Raw genomic sequence first — 14,702 nt, 5'->3', positions numbered from 1 at the left:
AATGAGATACCACCTTACTCCCGTGAGAATGACCATAATTAAAAAATAGAAAAAAAACAAAACAGTAGATGTTGGCGTGAATGTGGTGAATGGGGAACACTTCTACATTGCTAGTGGGAATGTTAACTAGTACAGCCAGTATGGAAAACAGTGTGGAGATTCCTTAAAGAACTAACAGTAGATCTACCATTTGATCCAGCAATCCCACTACTGGGTAGGATTTTACCCAGAGGAAAAGAAGTCTTTACTTGAAAAGGACACTTGCACACACATGTTTATAGCAACACAATTCACAATTGCAAAATCTTGGAACCAACCCAAATGCCCATCAATCAATGAGCAGATAAAGAAACTGTGGTGTGGAATACTATGTAGCTATAAAAAGGAATGAGTTAACAGCATTTGCAGTGACCTGGATGAGAGTGGAGACTATTATTCTAAGTGAAGTAACTCAGGAATGGGAAACCGAACATCGTATGTTCTCACTGATATGTGGGAGCTAAGCTATGAGGATGCAAAGGCATAAGAATGGTAGAGTGGACTTTGGGGAGGACTTGTGGGGAAGAGTGGGAGGAGGGTAAGGGATAAAAGACTACAAATATGGTGCAGTGTGTACTGCTTGGGTGATGGGTGCACCAAAATCTCACAGATCACCACTAAAGAACTTACTCATGTAACCAAATACCACCTGTACCCCAATAACTTATGGAAAAATAAAAAATAAAAATAAATAAATAAACCAGTCATAGCCACCTCATGCAATAGATTTGGGGGTAAGCTGGTGGCTTAGTTCTGGATAAGTCAAGTCTGCTGAGAAGGGCTTCTCTTCCCAAATAAAAAGTCAAAGACTAACAATGTGAAAGCCTTTCTGTCTCCCCTTTGCCCTTCCCAAACATGAACTTGATGTCCAGAAGTACCTCAGCCCTCCTGTGACCAGGGTGTGACAAACCAGTATGGAGGAACAGAAAGAGAAGAGTCTGGCTCCTTGATGATATTTTTGATTCCTTGGGCTGTCTACATCCAGGCTTCTTTTTATGAGAGAAAAAACAAGCTCCTTATATGTTTAGGCTTCTGTGAATTGGACTTTCTGTTCCTTCCAGTTGACTGGATTCCTAAGTGACTTAAATGATTGTTTTGGCAACAGACTCATAAAAAATTTCTATTTGTACTAGATTTGTTAGTCATTGCCTACCAAACCCAGCCACTTCTGAGCAACCATACTCCATCCACAGCCCAATTGCTGAAACTGCAAATGGAATGGTAGCATTCTGCACGGTGGGATCTTTCTTCTCCAGGGTAAGGCTGATCTCAGGGTAGCCAGTCACAGAGGCAGCCAGTGGAAAACAATCTGAGGCTTACCTTGGAAAATGCGAACCAGAGGGGCTCAAGTTCTCCCTCAGGAATCTGGCATTTAGAATAGAAAGAATGAGTGAGTGAGCTCAGAGAGCTGGGTTGAGGGTTACTTAGAGGATTTGGGGCTAGGGTGTATAATAAGGACCATGAGAAAGCTGACCTTATGAGAAAGCTGGTCAGGGGAGAGGTTCAGAGAGGGACAGAAAGAGATACCCCAGAGAAGAGCAGAAGTAACACCTTGATGTTTCCTAATGAGGTGCTGATTCCAGATTGCCTGTGCCCTTGTCATGAGTAACCTCCTCCTCGGGGTGATTTGAGTGAATCTCTATTCTTGTCCTGATATCAGCTCGAATATACTAGGCAGTAAAAGCTATATTTCGAGTTAAGTTTTCAATGTCTTCCAATCCCTCTTTCCTTGTACGTATAGTGCCAAATATAATACCTCCTTTGAGGGTTTGTTGCTGGGATTACATGTGAACAAGACCTAGCAGAGTGTTTAGCACATAGCCACAGCTTAGTGAATGTTCATTCCTTTTCCATTTCCCTAGCGCCTAGGTTGTGAGTTTATTGAAGGCAAGAATGACTCATCTGATATGACAGTCTCAGGGCTTAGCACAGTGCCTACACATAACATGAACTCAATGGGTTGGCAAACATTTTCTGTTAGGACTAGATAGCAAATATTGTTGGGTTTGTGGACCATATGATATCTGTTGCAATTATTGAACTCTATTATTGTAGTGTGAAAGCAGCCATATGCTAAAAAATGGAAGTGACAGTGTTGCAATAAAAGTTTATTTACAAATATGGGCATTGGGCTATATTTGGTCCATGGGCCTTAATTTGCTGACCCTTGCTATAGATGATGAAGAAACGAATGAATAAAAATGAACGAATGGGATTTTATTTAATAATGCCATTTACCAGAAAGAAAGTATTGGTACTATAAAGGACTCTTTATCCAGAAAAACCTGGATTCTATTTTCATCCCATTACATAAGAGTCTTTTATCTTCTCTGGCGTCATGCCTTTATTGTAAAATGGGGTCTGATAATCCCTTCTTTGTTTAAAGGTTTGGAACTGTCAGGTCTGTAAAGGTAAAATCTATGCCTTATTTGTCTTTATTCTCAGGGCCTAACAGAATTCTCACATGTCTAAGCATAATAGGTTGACAGGCACTTGCTGAATGATTAAAAGGTTGAGGTGAATCAGATGTTTGATGAAGCAGGTGGTTGGACCAGATAATAGTATAAACTCTTGTATTACTTATTCATTTATTTATTTTTTGAGACAGGGTCTTGCTCTGTTGCCCAGGCTGGAGTGCAGTGGCATGATCTCGGCTCACTGCAACCTTTGCCTCCCGGGTTCAAGTAATTCTCATGCCTCAGCCTCCCAAGTAGCTTGGACTACAGGCACATGCCACCACACCTGGCTATTTGTTGTATTTTTTGTGGAGATGAGGTTTCACCATTTTGCCCAGGCTTGCCTCAAACTCATGAGCTCAAGCAATTCACCTGCCTCGGCCTCTCAAAGTGCTGGGATTACAGGTGTGAGCCAGGGTGCCCAGTCCTAAACTCTTAAAATAGGAAAAACTTTAAAATCATCCAGCCAAATTCTCGCTTTGCAGAGGGTTTTTTTGTTTTTGTTTTTTTCAGAATTAAGATTCCAAATGACTGCAAACCCAATGCAAATTGACTTAAGCCCAGAAGGAAATGTATTGCCTCATTGATGTGCCTTGTTTCAGGGATTCCACTCATGTCATAGACCTAGACTTGCTTTAGTTCCTCACTTGCCTTCTGCTTGATTGGTTCTCTTGTGAGGTAGGCTTTCCTCGTTGGTGGCAAGACTGCTGACATTAGCTTCCAGCTCACTTCCTCACAGCTCAGACCACAGGAAAATAGAGAGGGTCTCTATCTGTTAAAAGTCACAATAAACATCTCAAGATTGTGTATCCTTGACTTCATTTGAGTCAATTGCCTATCCTTGAGCCAATTGTGCCCATGAATGAAATCAACGCCACCTGAACTGCATTGACTGAGAATGAGGGAAGTCCGGTTCTCCAGAGGCAAACCTCCAAATGCAGAGAATGAAGGTGGCAAAAACATGAAATATCCAGCACTGCTTTGGACTCTGTCAATAATATGCTTTAATAAAAACTGAGCATCAAATATTAGGATGTTTGTGAATATTCTGAAACTTGATCATGGAATCTAACTTAGGAAGAGACAACCAAGTTTAGTCTCTTTTTCCGGTGTTTGACCCCTCCAGATACTAGATTACTTTTAACATTTACACTCTTAAAACAAAGGAATATGTGCATTTTAAAAAATGAATTTTATTTTAAAGCAGTTTCAGATTTGCAGAAAAATCAAAGATAATACAACAGAGTTCTTATGTACCATACACCTGTTTCCCCTATTATTAACATCTTATATTAGTGTGATATATTTATTAAAATTAATGAACCGGCCCGGCGCTGTGGCTCATGCCTGTAATCCTAGCACTTTGAGAGGCCAAGGTGGGTGGATTGCTTGAGGTCAGGAGTTCAAGACCAGCCTGGCCAATGTGGTGAAACCCTGTCTCTACTTAAAATACAAACAATTCGTCGGGTGTGGTGGCAGGTGCCTGTAATCCCAGCTACTTGGGAGGCTGAGGCAGAAGAATCGCTTGAACCCAGGAGGCAGAAGTTGCAGTGAGCCGAGATCATGCCACTGCACTCCAGCCTGGGCAACAGAGCAAGACTCTGTCTCAAAAAATAATAATAACAATCAAATCAAATCATATAAATGAATCAGGATTGGTACATTATTATTATCTAAAATCCATACTTTATTTATATTTTCTTACTTTTTAGCTAATGGCCTTTACCTGTGCCAAGATCCCACCTGGGATACTACATTAAGTTTATTATTTATTTATTTATTTAATTTATCTTTCAAAAATAGAGACAATGTCTCACTATGTTGGCCAGGCTGGTCTTGAACTCCTGAGCTCAAGTGATCCTCCCACCTCAGCCTCCCAAAGTGCTGGGATTACAGGTGTGAACCACCTCACTTTGCCTGTTTTCTTCATGTCAGTGTCATGGGTTTTGAGGAGGAAGTCCATAGAGATAAAGTGACCCTTATATTACATCATGTCAAGGGTACATATTATCAACTCAACTGATTGTTGATGTTGATCTTGATCAACAGGCGCCTGAGGTAGTATTTGTCAGTTTTCTCTACTGTAAAGCTACTCCTGCCCCGCCACTCCCCATTGTATTTTTTTGAAAGAAGTCAGTAGGTCAAACCCACACTGAAAGAGTGGGGAGTTAGGCTTTATCTCCTTGAGTGGGGAGTATCTACATAAATTATTTATAATGCTTCTGGGGAGAAGATTTGTCTATTCTCCCCTACTTATTTATGGAGTCATAATTTACTTCTGTCAGTATGGACTCAGATATTTATTTTATACTTTGGATTATAATCCAGTATTCTTCTATTTATTTTGTTGCTCAGGTTGTTCCAGCTTTGAGGTGGAGCCAAAGCTTTTTGGAAGCTCTTTTGATAATCTCCTTTGCTCTTTAAAATAATCTCATTATTGTGGGATTCTTTTTTAATTTTCCTTTTTTTTTTTTTTTTTTAAGCACTTTCTTGCTGTTACTTACTGACATTGCAGGATGTTCCAGGTTCAGTCCGTATGTTTTTCACCTCAGTACTAGAGTCAGCCATTTCTCCAAGAAGCCCTGGTTCTTTTTATGGGAGGATGGAATTAGAAATTAAGATGTGGGTGCTAGGTATGCTCAATATAGCCATTTTATTTTATTTTATTATTTACTTATTTATTTATTTTGAGATGATCTCCCTCTGTTGCCCAGGCTGGAGTGCAGTGGTGCGATCTCAGCTTACTGCAACCTCCGCCTCCCGGGTTCAAGAGATCCTCCAGCCTCAGTTTCCCGAGTGGCTGGGATTACAGGCTCACACCACCACACCCAGCTAATTTTTGTATTTTTAGTAGAGACAGGGTTTTGCCATGTTGGCCAGGCTGGTCTCAAACTCCTGGCCCCAAGTGATCTGCCTACCTCGGCCTCCCAAAGTACTGGGATTACAGGCATGAGCCACCATACCCGGCCTCAATATATGCATTTTTAATAGTCAAGTTGTAAAAGGTTTATAACTAAAAAAATAGTGAATTTCTTTCCCACTTTTTTGCATTAAACTCTTTTGAGCTTGTTCTTCTGGTTTTTACCTTCATATTACTCACAGCGTGTTTATGCTGGTATTGTCTGATTGACCAATTTGAGACACTATTTGTTGACTCCCTGTAAAGGTGAATAGACTTTGGCTTTCTTACACCCCCACCCCGCTTCCTCTCTACCAATTTTTCCAGTGTAGTCAAATCAAAATATGTGTTAAGTTGGGGCACAGTGGCTCATTTCTGTAATCCCAGCACTTTGGGAGGCTGAGGCAGGCAGACCACTTGAGGCCAGGAGTTCAAGACCAGCCTGGCCAACATGGTGAAATCCCATCTCTACTAAAAATACAAAAATTAGCCGGGCATTGTGGTGCATGACTGTAATCTCAGCTACTTGGGAGGCTGAGGCATGAATCACTTGCACCCTGGAGGCAGAGATTTATCCGAAGTATTCCATGCAGTGAGCCAAGATCGCACCACTGCACTCCAGCTTGGGTGACAGAGTGAGACCCTGTGTCAAAAAAATAAATAAATAAAAATAAAAATGGTGTATTAAGCCAGTAGCCAGATTTTACATTATTACCAGCATGTAACTATTAATATCTTTCACACTTAGCAAATGCACCATAATTACATTTCTTTTCTCGTACAAAATTTTATCTTTCCTGGTTGTAATAATTATCTCATTTTTTGTTTGTTTGTTTGTTTGTTTGTTATTTTGAGACGGAGTCTCGCTCTGTCACCCCAGCTGGAGTGCAGTGGCATGATCTTGACTCACTGCAACCACCACCTCCCTGGTTCAAGGGATTCTCCCACCTCAGCCTCCCAAGTAACTGGGATTACAGGCATGTGCCACTGCACTCAGCAACTTTTTGTATTTTTGGTAGAGATGGGGTTTCTCCATGTTGGCCAGGCTGGTCTGGAACTCCTGACCTCAAGTGATCCAACTGCCTCTGCCTCCCAAAGTGCTGGGATTACAGGCGTGAGCCACTGCACCCAGCCTTCATTGTGTTTTTTTCTTAATTTCCCAAGTATCCATCAAAAATTCATCCCATGGCTGTGGGCAGTGGCTCATGCCTATAATCCCAGCACTTTGGGAGGCTGAGATGGGAGGATCACTTGAGACCAGGAGTTTGAGACCAGCCTGGGCAACATGGCAAGACCCTGCCTCTACAAAAATTTAAACAAATTAGCTGGGTGTGGAGGCACACCTGTGGTTCCAGCTACTTGGGAGACTGGGGCAACAGGATTGCTTGAGCCTGGAGGTTGAGGCTTTACTAAGCCATGTTCATACCAGTGCACTCCGGTCTGGGCAACAGAGCAAGACCCTGTCTCAAAAAAAAAAAAAAAAAAATTCATCCCAAGTATTCCATCATATCTGCCAAACACCTATCAAAGTTATTTTCAAATTACCTAAGTACATGAGCTTATTCGTGACACTCACTACCACCACCCCAAGGCTTATTCCTCTGCTCTTCTGCCCCAGCCTGAGGTGGTTATTAAAGTAATTATTCTCCAAAGATGCTTCCCCTACCACTCCAATGAACCACACTTCCTCGCATTCACATCCTTGTATTGCTCCCTCCACTTGAATTCTCTGGGATGGCCTTATAATTTGCCTTTTGACCAATAAAATACTGTAAAAATGATACTGAATGTTACCTAAGGCTAGGTCATAAGAACCTTTGTGGATTATTCCTGAGCATGTTGGAATGCTAATTTTTGAGAAAGCCAGATCCTATGTAAAAAATCCAACTACTCTGAGACCACCATACTGTAAGGAAGCCCAAGCTTCCATGTAGAAAGGTCATGTGGAGAGAGACAGTTGTCAGTCCAGCCCCTATCTCTTCTAGTCATTCTATTAATTTGCTAGACATACAAGTCCAGCTAGAAGTGTCATTTTGGATGATCAGTCATGTGAGTGAGAAAGTTATCTTGGACAAATAGTCCAATCTAGTCTTGAGATAGCCACTGTCACTGGGTGAGAGCTACCCAGCTGAACACTGTCATCCCAGGGAATCATGAAAAGTACATTGACATTGTTCAGGCACTAGGTTTTGGGGTGGTTTGTGATGCAGTGAAACAGTTCCCCTCTAGGTCTGTTCTGCAGTTTTCTTTGTGAAATTTTTCTTCCCTGGAGTTAGATGTCATGTTTTCTGGACCCCATGACTTTCTGTTTCCTGGTTATTTCTCCCGTTTTGCTACAGATTTCTCTTCCATAACTTCTAGGAAAGGAAGTATAGTAAGTAAATTTTGAATCTATGTCCAAAAAGGCCTTTATTATGATCTTACATTTGAGAAATAGATTGTCTGCGAGTAGGATTCTAGGTTGAAATTAAATTTCTCCTCTGGATTTTTTTTTTTTTTTTTGGACACAGGTTCTCTGTCTGTTTTCCAGGCTGGAGTGCAGTGGCACAATCTCAGCTCACTACAACCTTCACCTCCCGGGCTCAAGCAATCCTCCCACCTCAGCCTCTGGAGTAGCTAGGACCACAGGTGCGCATCACCACACTCGGCCAATTTTTTGTATTTTTGGCAGATATAGATTTTCTTTTCCTCTTTTTTTTTTTTTTTTTGATGGAGTCTCCTTCTGTCACCCAGGCTGGAGTGCAGTAGCATGATCTCAGCTCACTGCAACATCTGCCTCCTGGGTTCAAGTGATTCTCCTGCCTCAGCCTCCCAAGTAGCTAGGATTACAGGCATGCACCACCACACCCAGCTAATTTTTGTATTTTTAGTAGCGACCAGTTTTGCCATGTTGCTGGGACTTGTCTTGAACTCCTGACCTCAAATGATCTGCCCGTCTTGGCCTCCCAAAGTGCTGGGATTACAGGCGTGAGCCGCCACGCCCGGCTGATACAGGTTTTTACCATGTTGCCCAGGCTATTCTGGAACTCCTGGACTCAAGTGATCCACCCACTTTGGCCTCTTAAAATGCTGGGATTACAGATGTGAGCCACCACACTCGGCCTTCCCTCTGAATTTTGAAGGCATTCGTGCATTATTTTCTAGCTTTGTTGTTTGGAACAACAATGCCATTCTATTTCCAAATCCATTCAGTGCAATATGTTGTTCTTTCTCTCTGGAGTCTTTTCGTATCTTTTCTTTATGTCTGATGTTCTCATATTACATGATAATGTCTTGCTTTTTGGGGATATTTTTATTCATTGAGTTTAGCATTTGATTGACCCGCTCAATACTGAGAGTCATCTCCTTTAGTTACGAGAGTCTTTCCTTTATTATTTCTTTAGTAATTTCCTCTCCTCTATTTTCTTTTTTAATGTTCTGAAACAATCCTAGTCCTTTGACTTTGTAGATGGTTATAATTTCTAACAAATTTTCTTAACTTTATTTTTCAAAACTTCCATAAAATTCGGGACATTTTTATAATGTCTATGTTCTTTTTCATGAATGTAAAATCTTTCTTTCTGAGAAAATATTAGCTTTTTAAAAAGTTTTTGAAGTTCTCTTTAGCTCTCCCTGTTATTTTTGTCTCTTTTTTATGTTAAATGCTTTCCTCAAATGTCTGATGATCCCTGGTTATCTGTTCATATCTGAAAGGGACACTAAAGACTCATTAACAGTTCTGCATGCATGGCTGAGGCTCATGCACTGATGAACTTATTGAAGGAGGGTTGAGTGGTTTTGTTGGGGAACACTCAAAACTATAAATATCTGAAAATGTTTTATTGGGACCACTTAGTTTATCCAGAGATTAAATCCTCCAGTTTCCTGGGATAGAATGGGGAAAGGATCCCTTGGTTCTGTGGGCATTCAGTGGGAAGATTCACTCTGAATCCCGTTATTTTCATCCCTGCTCATGTTAGTCTGGCTTCTCTGGGTCTAGAACCTCACCTGATATTTAGATTTTTCACTGATACCTTCAGTAGAAGCAATGTTGAATGTTTGAGGTTTGCTGGCTGTTTACAATCAATTAAGGATTTTTAAAAATCTAGAACATTTGTGAATTCTTATATTTTCTTCCTGGTACTAAGTAGGAGCTAGCCACAGGTAGGCCTCATCATATGGATACATTACCCAAACGGTCACAGGTCAAAGGACAATGTAGTGATTAACCATAAGCTTTGGAATCAGGAAGTTCTGGGCTTCAGTGTCTTCCTAAAACTTAAAAAAAAATTTAATTTTTTTATTAAACTTTTTTTTAAATAAAAAATTGAGATGGGGTTTCGCCATGTTGATCAGGCTGGTCTCAAACTCCTGGCCTCAAGCGATCCTCCCATCTCGGCCTCCCTAAGTGCTAGGATTACAGGTGTGAGCCACTGTGCCTGTCCTCACTTTTCTTTCTCCATTATTAGGGCAAGGAGGCCAGGGGACAGGGTGAGGGAGAACCTAGAATGGGAATGGAGGCAACTTTCAGTCTAACTATGCTTTGGCCCCATGAGGAATCTACATGTAAACACTTGCCAGTATGGAGAGTCAATTGCACTTTGTGACAGGCTGTACAGCAGTTGGGACAACTGTGGCACATGCACAGGTTATACAGGCATATTTGCACCAGCACATGCATGGATGCTTGTGCACATATAGGAAACCCACTATACACATGGACAAAGAAGCACAAGTATGTCCACGCCATCCCTCCACACACACACTAGTCACCAGGAGAAAAGGGCTCAGCACATTTCATCATGCATCGCCCATTGGGGGAAGCCATGTAGGACAGGAGAAAGGGAAGATTATGAGGCAAAAAGAGAAATGAAACTAAAGAGTCCCACCCTGTCAGCATTAACTGGGATATAAGAGGTTGGGCTTTGGATAGATAGACAGACTCCTGGGTCCGGTCAACCGTCAAAATGTCCAAAGAACCTCTCATTCTCTGGCTGATGATTGAGTTTTGGTGGCTTTACCTGAGTAAGTGTTCTGAAACCTTCTATGTAGAAGTTTCCAGAGGACTTGCTATTGTGTGATGGATTTCCATGCACTGGTTTGGGCCTCAGTGAAGCAGAAGCTCACTTCATTTCTGCATCCCTCCCCTCTCCCTACCAGGCTTCCTTCTGTGGAGGGTCTCTGTCCTGCCTTGTTACACAGAGGTTTATCCAGAGACTGGTCTGGGGGTTTTAGGCTGGGGTAATTTGGGCTTATATTGGAAACAGCAACTGAAGAAGAGACACAGAAATAAGTGGTCAGATAAATTGGGGAAAAGAGATTTCCTCTATGGGTGTTATTCATATAATCAATAAGCCAGGAGAATTTGTTCTGGTGAGAATTGTGATAATTCTTATCATTCCCTCTGTTTTTAGAAGTGTTTGCTTTTTGTTTTGTTTTGCTGGGGTGAGGCTTTATGTAAGGTTTCTTTTCTGCACGTTGTTTTTGGGTTTTGGATGATGCAAGTGTACACACTCAGTTTTGGCCAGTGAAGTTCTTTGCATCCTGGTGGTATAGAGCCAAGTGTTCTGGCCTGAGCTGCAGCTGCGTCTCGGGCACTAACTGTTGACACTGGGAATATGTCTAAATTGCTCTGGCTCTCCCATATTTGAAATGAGAGACCTGGCTTTTTAAATGACCAGTTGTCACAATCTGTGCTTCTAGGACAAGATAATATTGAATGGCCCTTGCAGTTTTACAAAAGTCCATTTTTTTTTTAAATGGATACAAAATAACTATACATATTTATGGGCTACATATGTGTTATTTTGATATATACATACAATGTACAATGATCGAATCAGGGTAGTTGGGATATTCATTTCTTGAAACATTTAAATTTCTTTGTGCTGAGAACATTTCAAATGTTCTCTTCTAGTTATTTTGAAATACACAAGAAATTATTAATAACAATAGGCACCCCACTATGCTATCAAACACTAGGACTTATTCCTTCTATTTAATTGTATTTTTTCCCTTTTTCCTCATGTTCTAACTAACTGTATTTTTGTACCCATTAACCTGCCTTTCTTCATACCCCTTTTCCCCTATCCTTTGTAGACTCCAGTGACTATCATTCTATTCTCCACTTTCATGAGATCAACTTTTTTAGCTCTCATGTATGAGTGGGAACATGCAATATTTGTCTTTCTGTGCCTAGCTTAACTTAACACAATATTAATAAACTCTGTTTCCATCCATGTTGTTGCAAATGACTGAGTTTCATTCTTTTTTTATGGCTGAATATTCTACTGTGTTTATATACCACATTTTCTTTTTTTTTTTCTTTCTTTTTTTTTTTTTTTTTTTTTTTTTTTTGAGACGGAGTCTCGCTCTTTTGCCTAGGCCGGACTGCAGTGGCACTATCTCTATCTCGGCTCACTGCAAGCTCTGCCTCCTGGGTCCACGCCATTCTCCTGCCTCAGCCTCCCAAGTAGCTGGGACTATGGGCGCCTGCCACCATGCCTGGCTAATTTTTGTATTTTTAGTAGAGACGGGGTTTCACCATATTGGTCAGGCTGGTCTTGAACTCCTGACCTCAGGCGATCCACTCACCTCGGCCTCCCAAAGTGCTGGGCTTATAGGCGTGAGTCACCGCACCTGGCCATATACCACATTTTCTTTATCCATTCATCCATTGATGGACACGTAGGTTGCTTCTATATCTTGGCTATCGTGCATAGTGCTGTAATAAACATGGGAGAGTAAATATCTCTTTAATTGATTTCCTTTCTTTGGGATATATCCCCAGTAGTGGGATTGTTGGATCATATGGTAATTCTATTTTTAGTTTTTTAAGGAATCACCATACTGTTTCCCATAATGGCTGTAGTAATTTACATTCCCACCAACAGCGTACGAGAGTTCCTCTTTCTTTGCGTCCTCGCCAGCAATGCTTGCTTTTTGTCTTTTTGATAGTAGCCATTTTATCAGAAATGAAGTGATACCTCATTGTGGTTTGGATTTGCATTTCCCCAGTGATTAGCAATGTTAAACATTTTTTCTTCTACCTCTTGGCTCTTTGTATGTGCAGAAACCTTTCCAACATGGTGCATGAGAAAACACCCATATTTGAAGGAAAACAAATGTGTTTCATCACCTCTCAAACTTGTACTATTCTCTCTGCCTTTCTTTCCTCCGTAGTGCCATGCATCCTCAGGTCCCTACTTAATTCAGGCTTTTCCTGGCTACCTTGTAGCCTCTGGAATAGTTCAGGTGTTTCTGCTATGAGTTCGCATCCTCCTTGGAGTTCCTGCATCTGTAAACTTGTCACTCTATAGCAAATGCTCACTCATTTGACTATCTTCCTAGGTACTCTGCAGGCCCCATGAGGGCAGCCCAGGTCTGCTTTGTGGCTTGTTATATTCCAGCACCTAGTTCCACCCTTGATACATTATAGGCACTGAAGAAACAATCTACAGGCCAGGGGTGGTGGCTCATGCCTATAATCCTGGCATTTTGGGAGGCCGAGGTTGGTGGATCACCCGAGGTCAGGAATTTGTGACCAGCCTGGCCAACATGGTGAAACCCCGTCTCTACTAAAAATATAAAAATTAGCCAGGCGTGGTGACATGTGCCTGTAATCCCAGCTACTCAGGAGGCTGAGGCAGGAGAATCGCTTGAACTAGAGAGGCAGAGGTTGCAGTGAGCCGAGATTGCACCACTGCACTCCAGCCTGGGTGACAGAGTGAGACTCTTTCTGAAAAAAAAAAAAAAAAAAAGGGGGAAGAAAAAAACAATCTACAGAATGAAAGCAGTCCCTGTCACTTTCACACTTATATTTTGGGTTTGGTATGGGTTTGTTTGGATGTAAGAAAGCTACCATCTGCCTTTTCATCAATTTTTTTTTACTGTCTTTGTCTTATCCTGGAAACTTGAAGTTTGGAAGGTTTTGTTAGGTTGAAAGTTGCAGGGGTCTATGTCTACATGTCCTGCTACTAGCAAGACACTGGTTGAGGGGAATTTTCTAATCCTGCTTGAAGGAGGCAGCACCTGGTGAGCTGTTTTTTGTTTTATTTTGTTTTTTTTTTCATAGGTGCCTTTTCTTTTTTCTTTTGTTTTTCAAAATATTTTTGGGTTTTTTCGAGACAGAGTCTCACTCCAATGCCCAGGCTGGAGTGCAATGGTGCAATCTCGGCTCACTGCAACTTCTGCCTCCCAGGCTCAAGCAATTCTCCTGCCCCAGCCTCCCAAGTAGCTGAGATTGCAGGCGCCCGCCACCACAGCTGGCTAATTTTTTGTATTTTTTAGTAGAGACAGGGTTTCACCATATTTGGCCAGGCTGGTCTTGAACTCCTGACCTCAGGTGATCCACCTGTATCAGCCTCCCAAAGTGCTGGGATTACAGGTGTGAGCCACCACACCCGGCCTATATGTGCCTTTTCTAAGATAACCAAATTAAAAGAGAGTGACTGCTCAGAATCACCAAGGATCAGAGCTGGATGTACTCTTAAAAGATGCCCTTCACTCTGTAGATGGCAATTTTGAGACTCAGATTGGGGAAGGGCCAGCCTTGCTTAAGCTCACCAGCTATGGAAGGAACCAAGCTGGCATAAGGACCTAGGTTGTATCCACCATTCCAGGTAGCTCCACAGAAGTGAAACTGGTTTGATACCAACAATTGCTTTACTCAGGGATACTTTTACAACAGACAGGAACCATTTTTTTTTGTCTTATTTCTAAATTCTAATGTCCTTTGTTACGCGTATTAATACTTTGTTAATTTCACGTGGCATTTGTTACTCCTCTTCAAGTGGAGCTCAGAACCATTTCTGAGGTGAGTATTATCCCCTTTGCCTTGTGATGATAATGAGGTCAGGATTATCATGGCTTTCCTCCAACAACACAAAAGCAGTAAATGGCAGAATGGGGTTTACAATGTGAGCTTAATGGATGTTGTTCCTGCCATACTCAGCACCTGCTTCCTTTTCTTATATTAATTTTTAATAAGATGAGTGACACGAAACACTCCTGGTGAAAAAATTAAAATGTTATAAAGCCAAATGCCCTTTGGACTGCTATCCCCAATTCCAATCCCTTTTCTCTGATCCTGGGGGTAACTGACACAATGAGTTTGGTGTCTATCCCACTAGACACTTTTCTGTGCATTTACTTTCAAAAGTCTGAGCCCACAAAAACAAAGGAAATTGTTTTATTTATTTATTTTACAAGAAGGGTTTTATATTTTATGTCTTGTTTTGAAATTTGCCCTTTTCATCATTAAATGGCTTGGAGTCTTCCTGTCAATTCACTCAGATCTATCTCTAATGCTATCAATCTACATAGAATTC

General features: G+C 41.4%; 1 protein-coding gene across 4 annotated transcripts in view; it reads left to right on the top strand.

Annotated features, from left to right (window-relative positions):
- The first annotated feature begins 10,312 nt into the window (after nucleotides 1-10,312).
- Nucleotides 10,313-14,702, top strand: part of TIMD4 (T cell immunoglobulin and mucin domain containing 4) — a 43,935-nt gene continuing 39,545 nt past the window's right edge. For all 4 annotated transcript variants that reach the window (XM_017010021.2, NM_001146726.2, NM_138379.3 and 1 more), the window contains exon 1: nucleotides 10,313-10,398. In XM_017010021.2, coding sequence (XP_016865510.1) covers nucleotides 10,341-10,398 — 58 coding nt within the window. In that variant the 5' untranslated portion in view covers nucleotides 10,313-10,340. The remainder of the gene's footprint in view (nucleotides 10,399-14,702) is intronic.

This window comes from Homo sapiens, chromosome 5 (genome assembly GCF_000001405.40).
Source record: "Homo sapiens chromosome 5, GRCh38.p14 Primary Assembly".
Lineage (NCBI taxonomy): Eukaryota > Metazoa > Chordata > Mammalia > Primates > Hominidae > Homo > Homo sapiens.
Note: the sequence above shows the minus strand (reverse complement) of the source record. Positions and strands in the feature narration are given on the sequence as shown.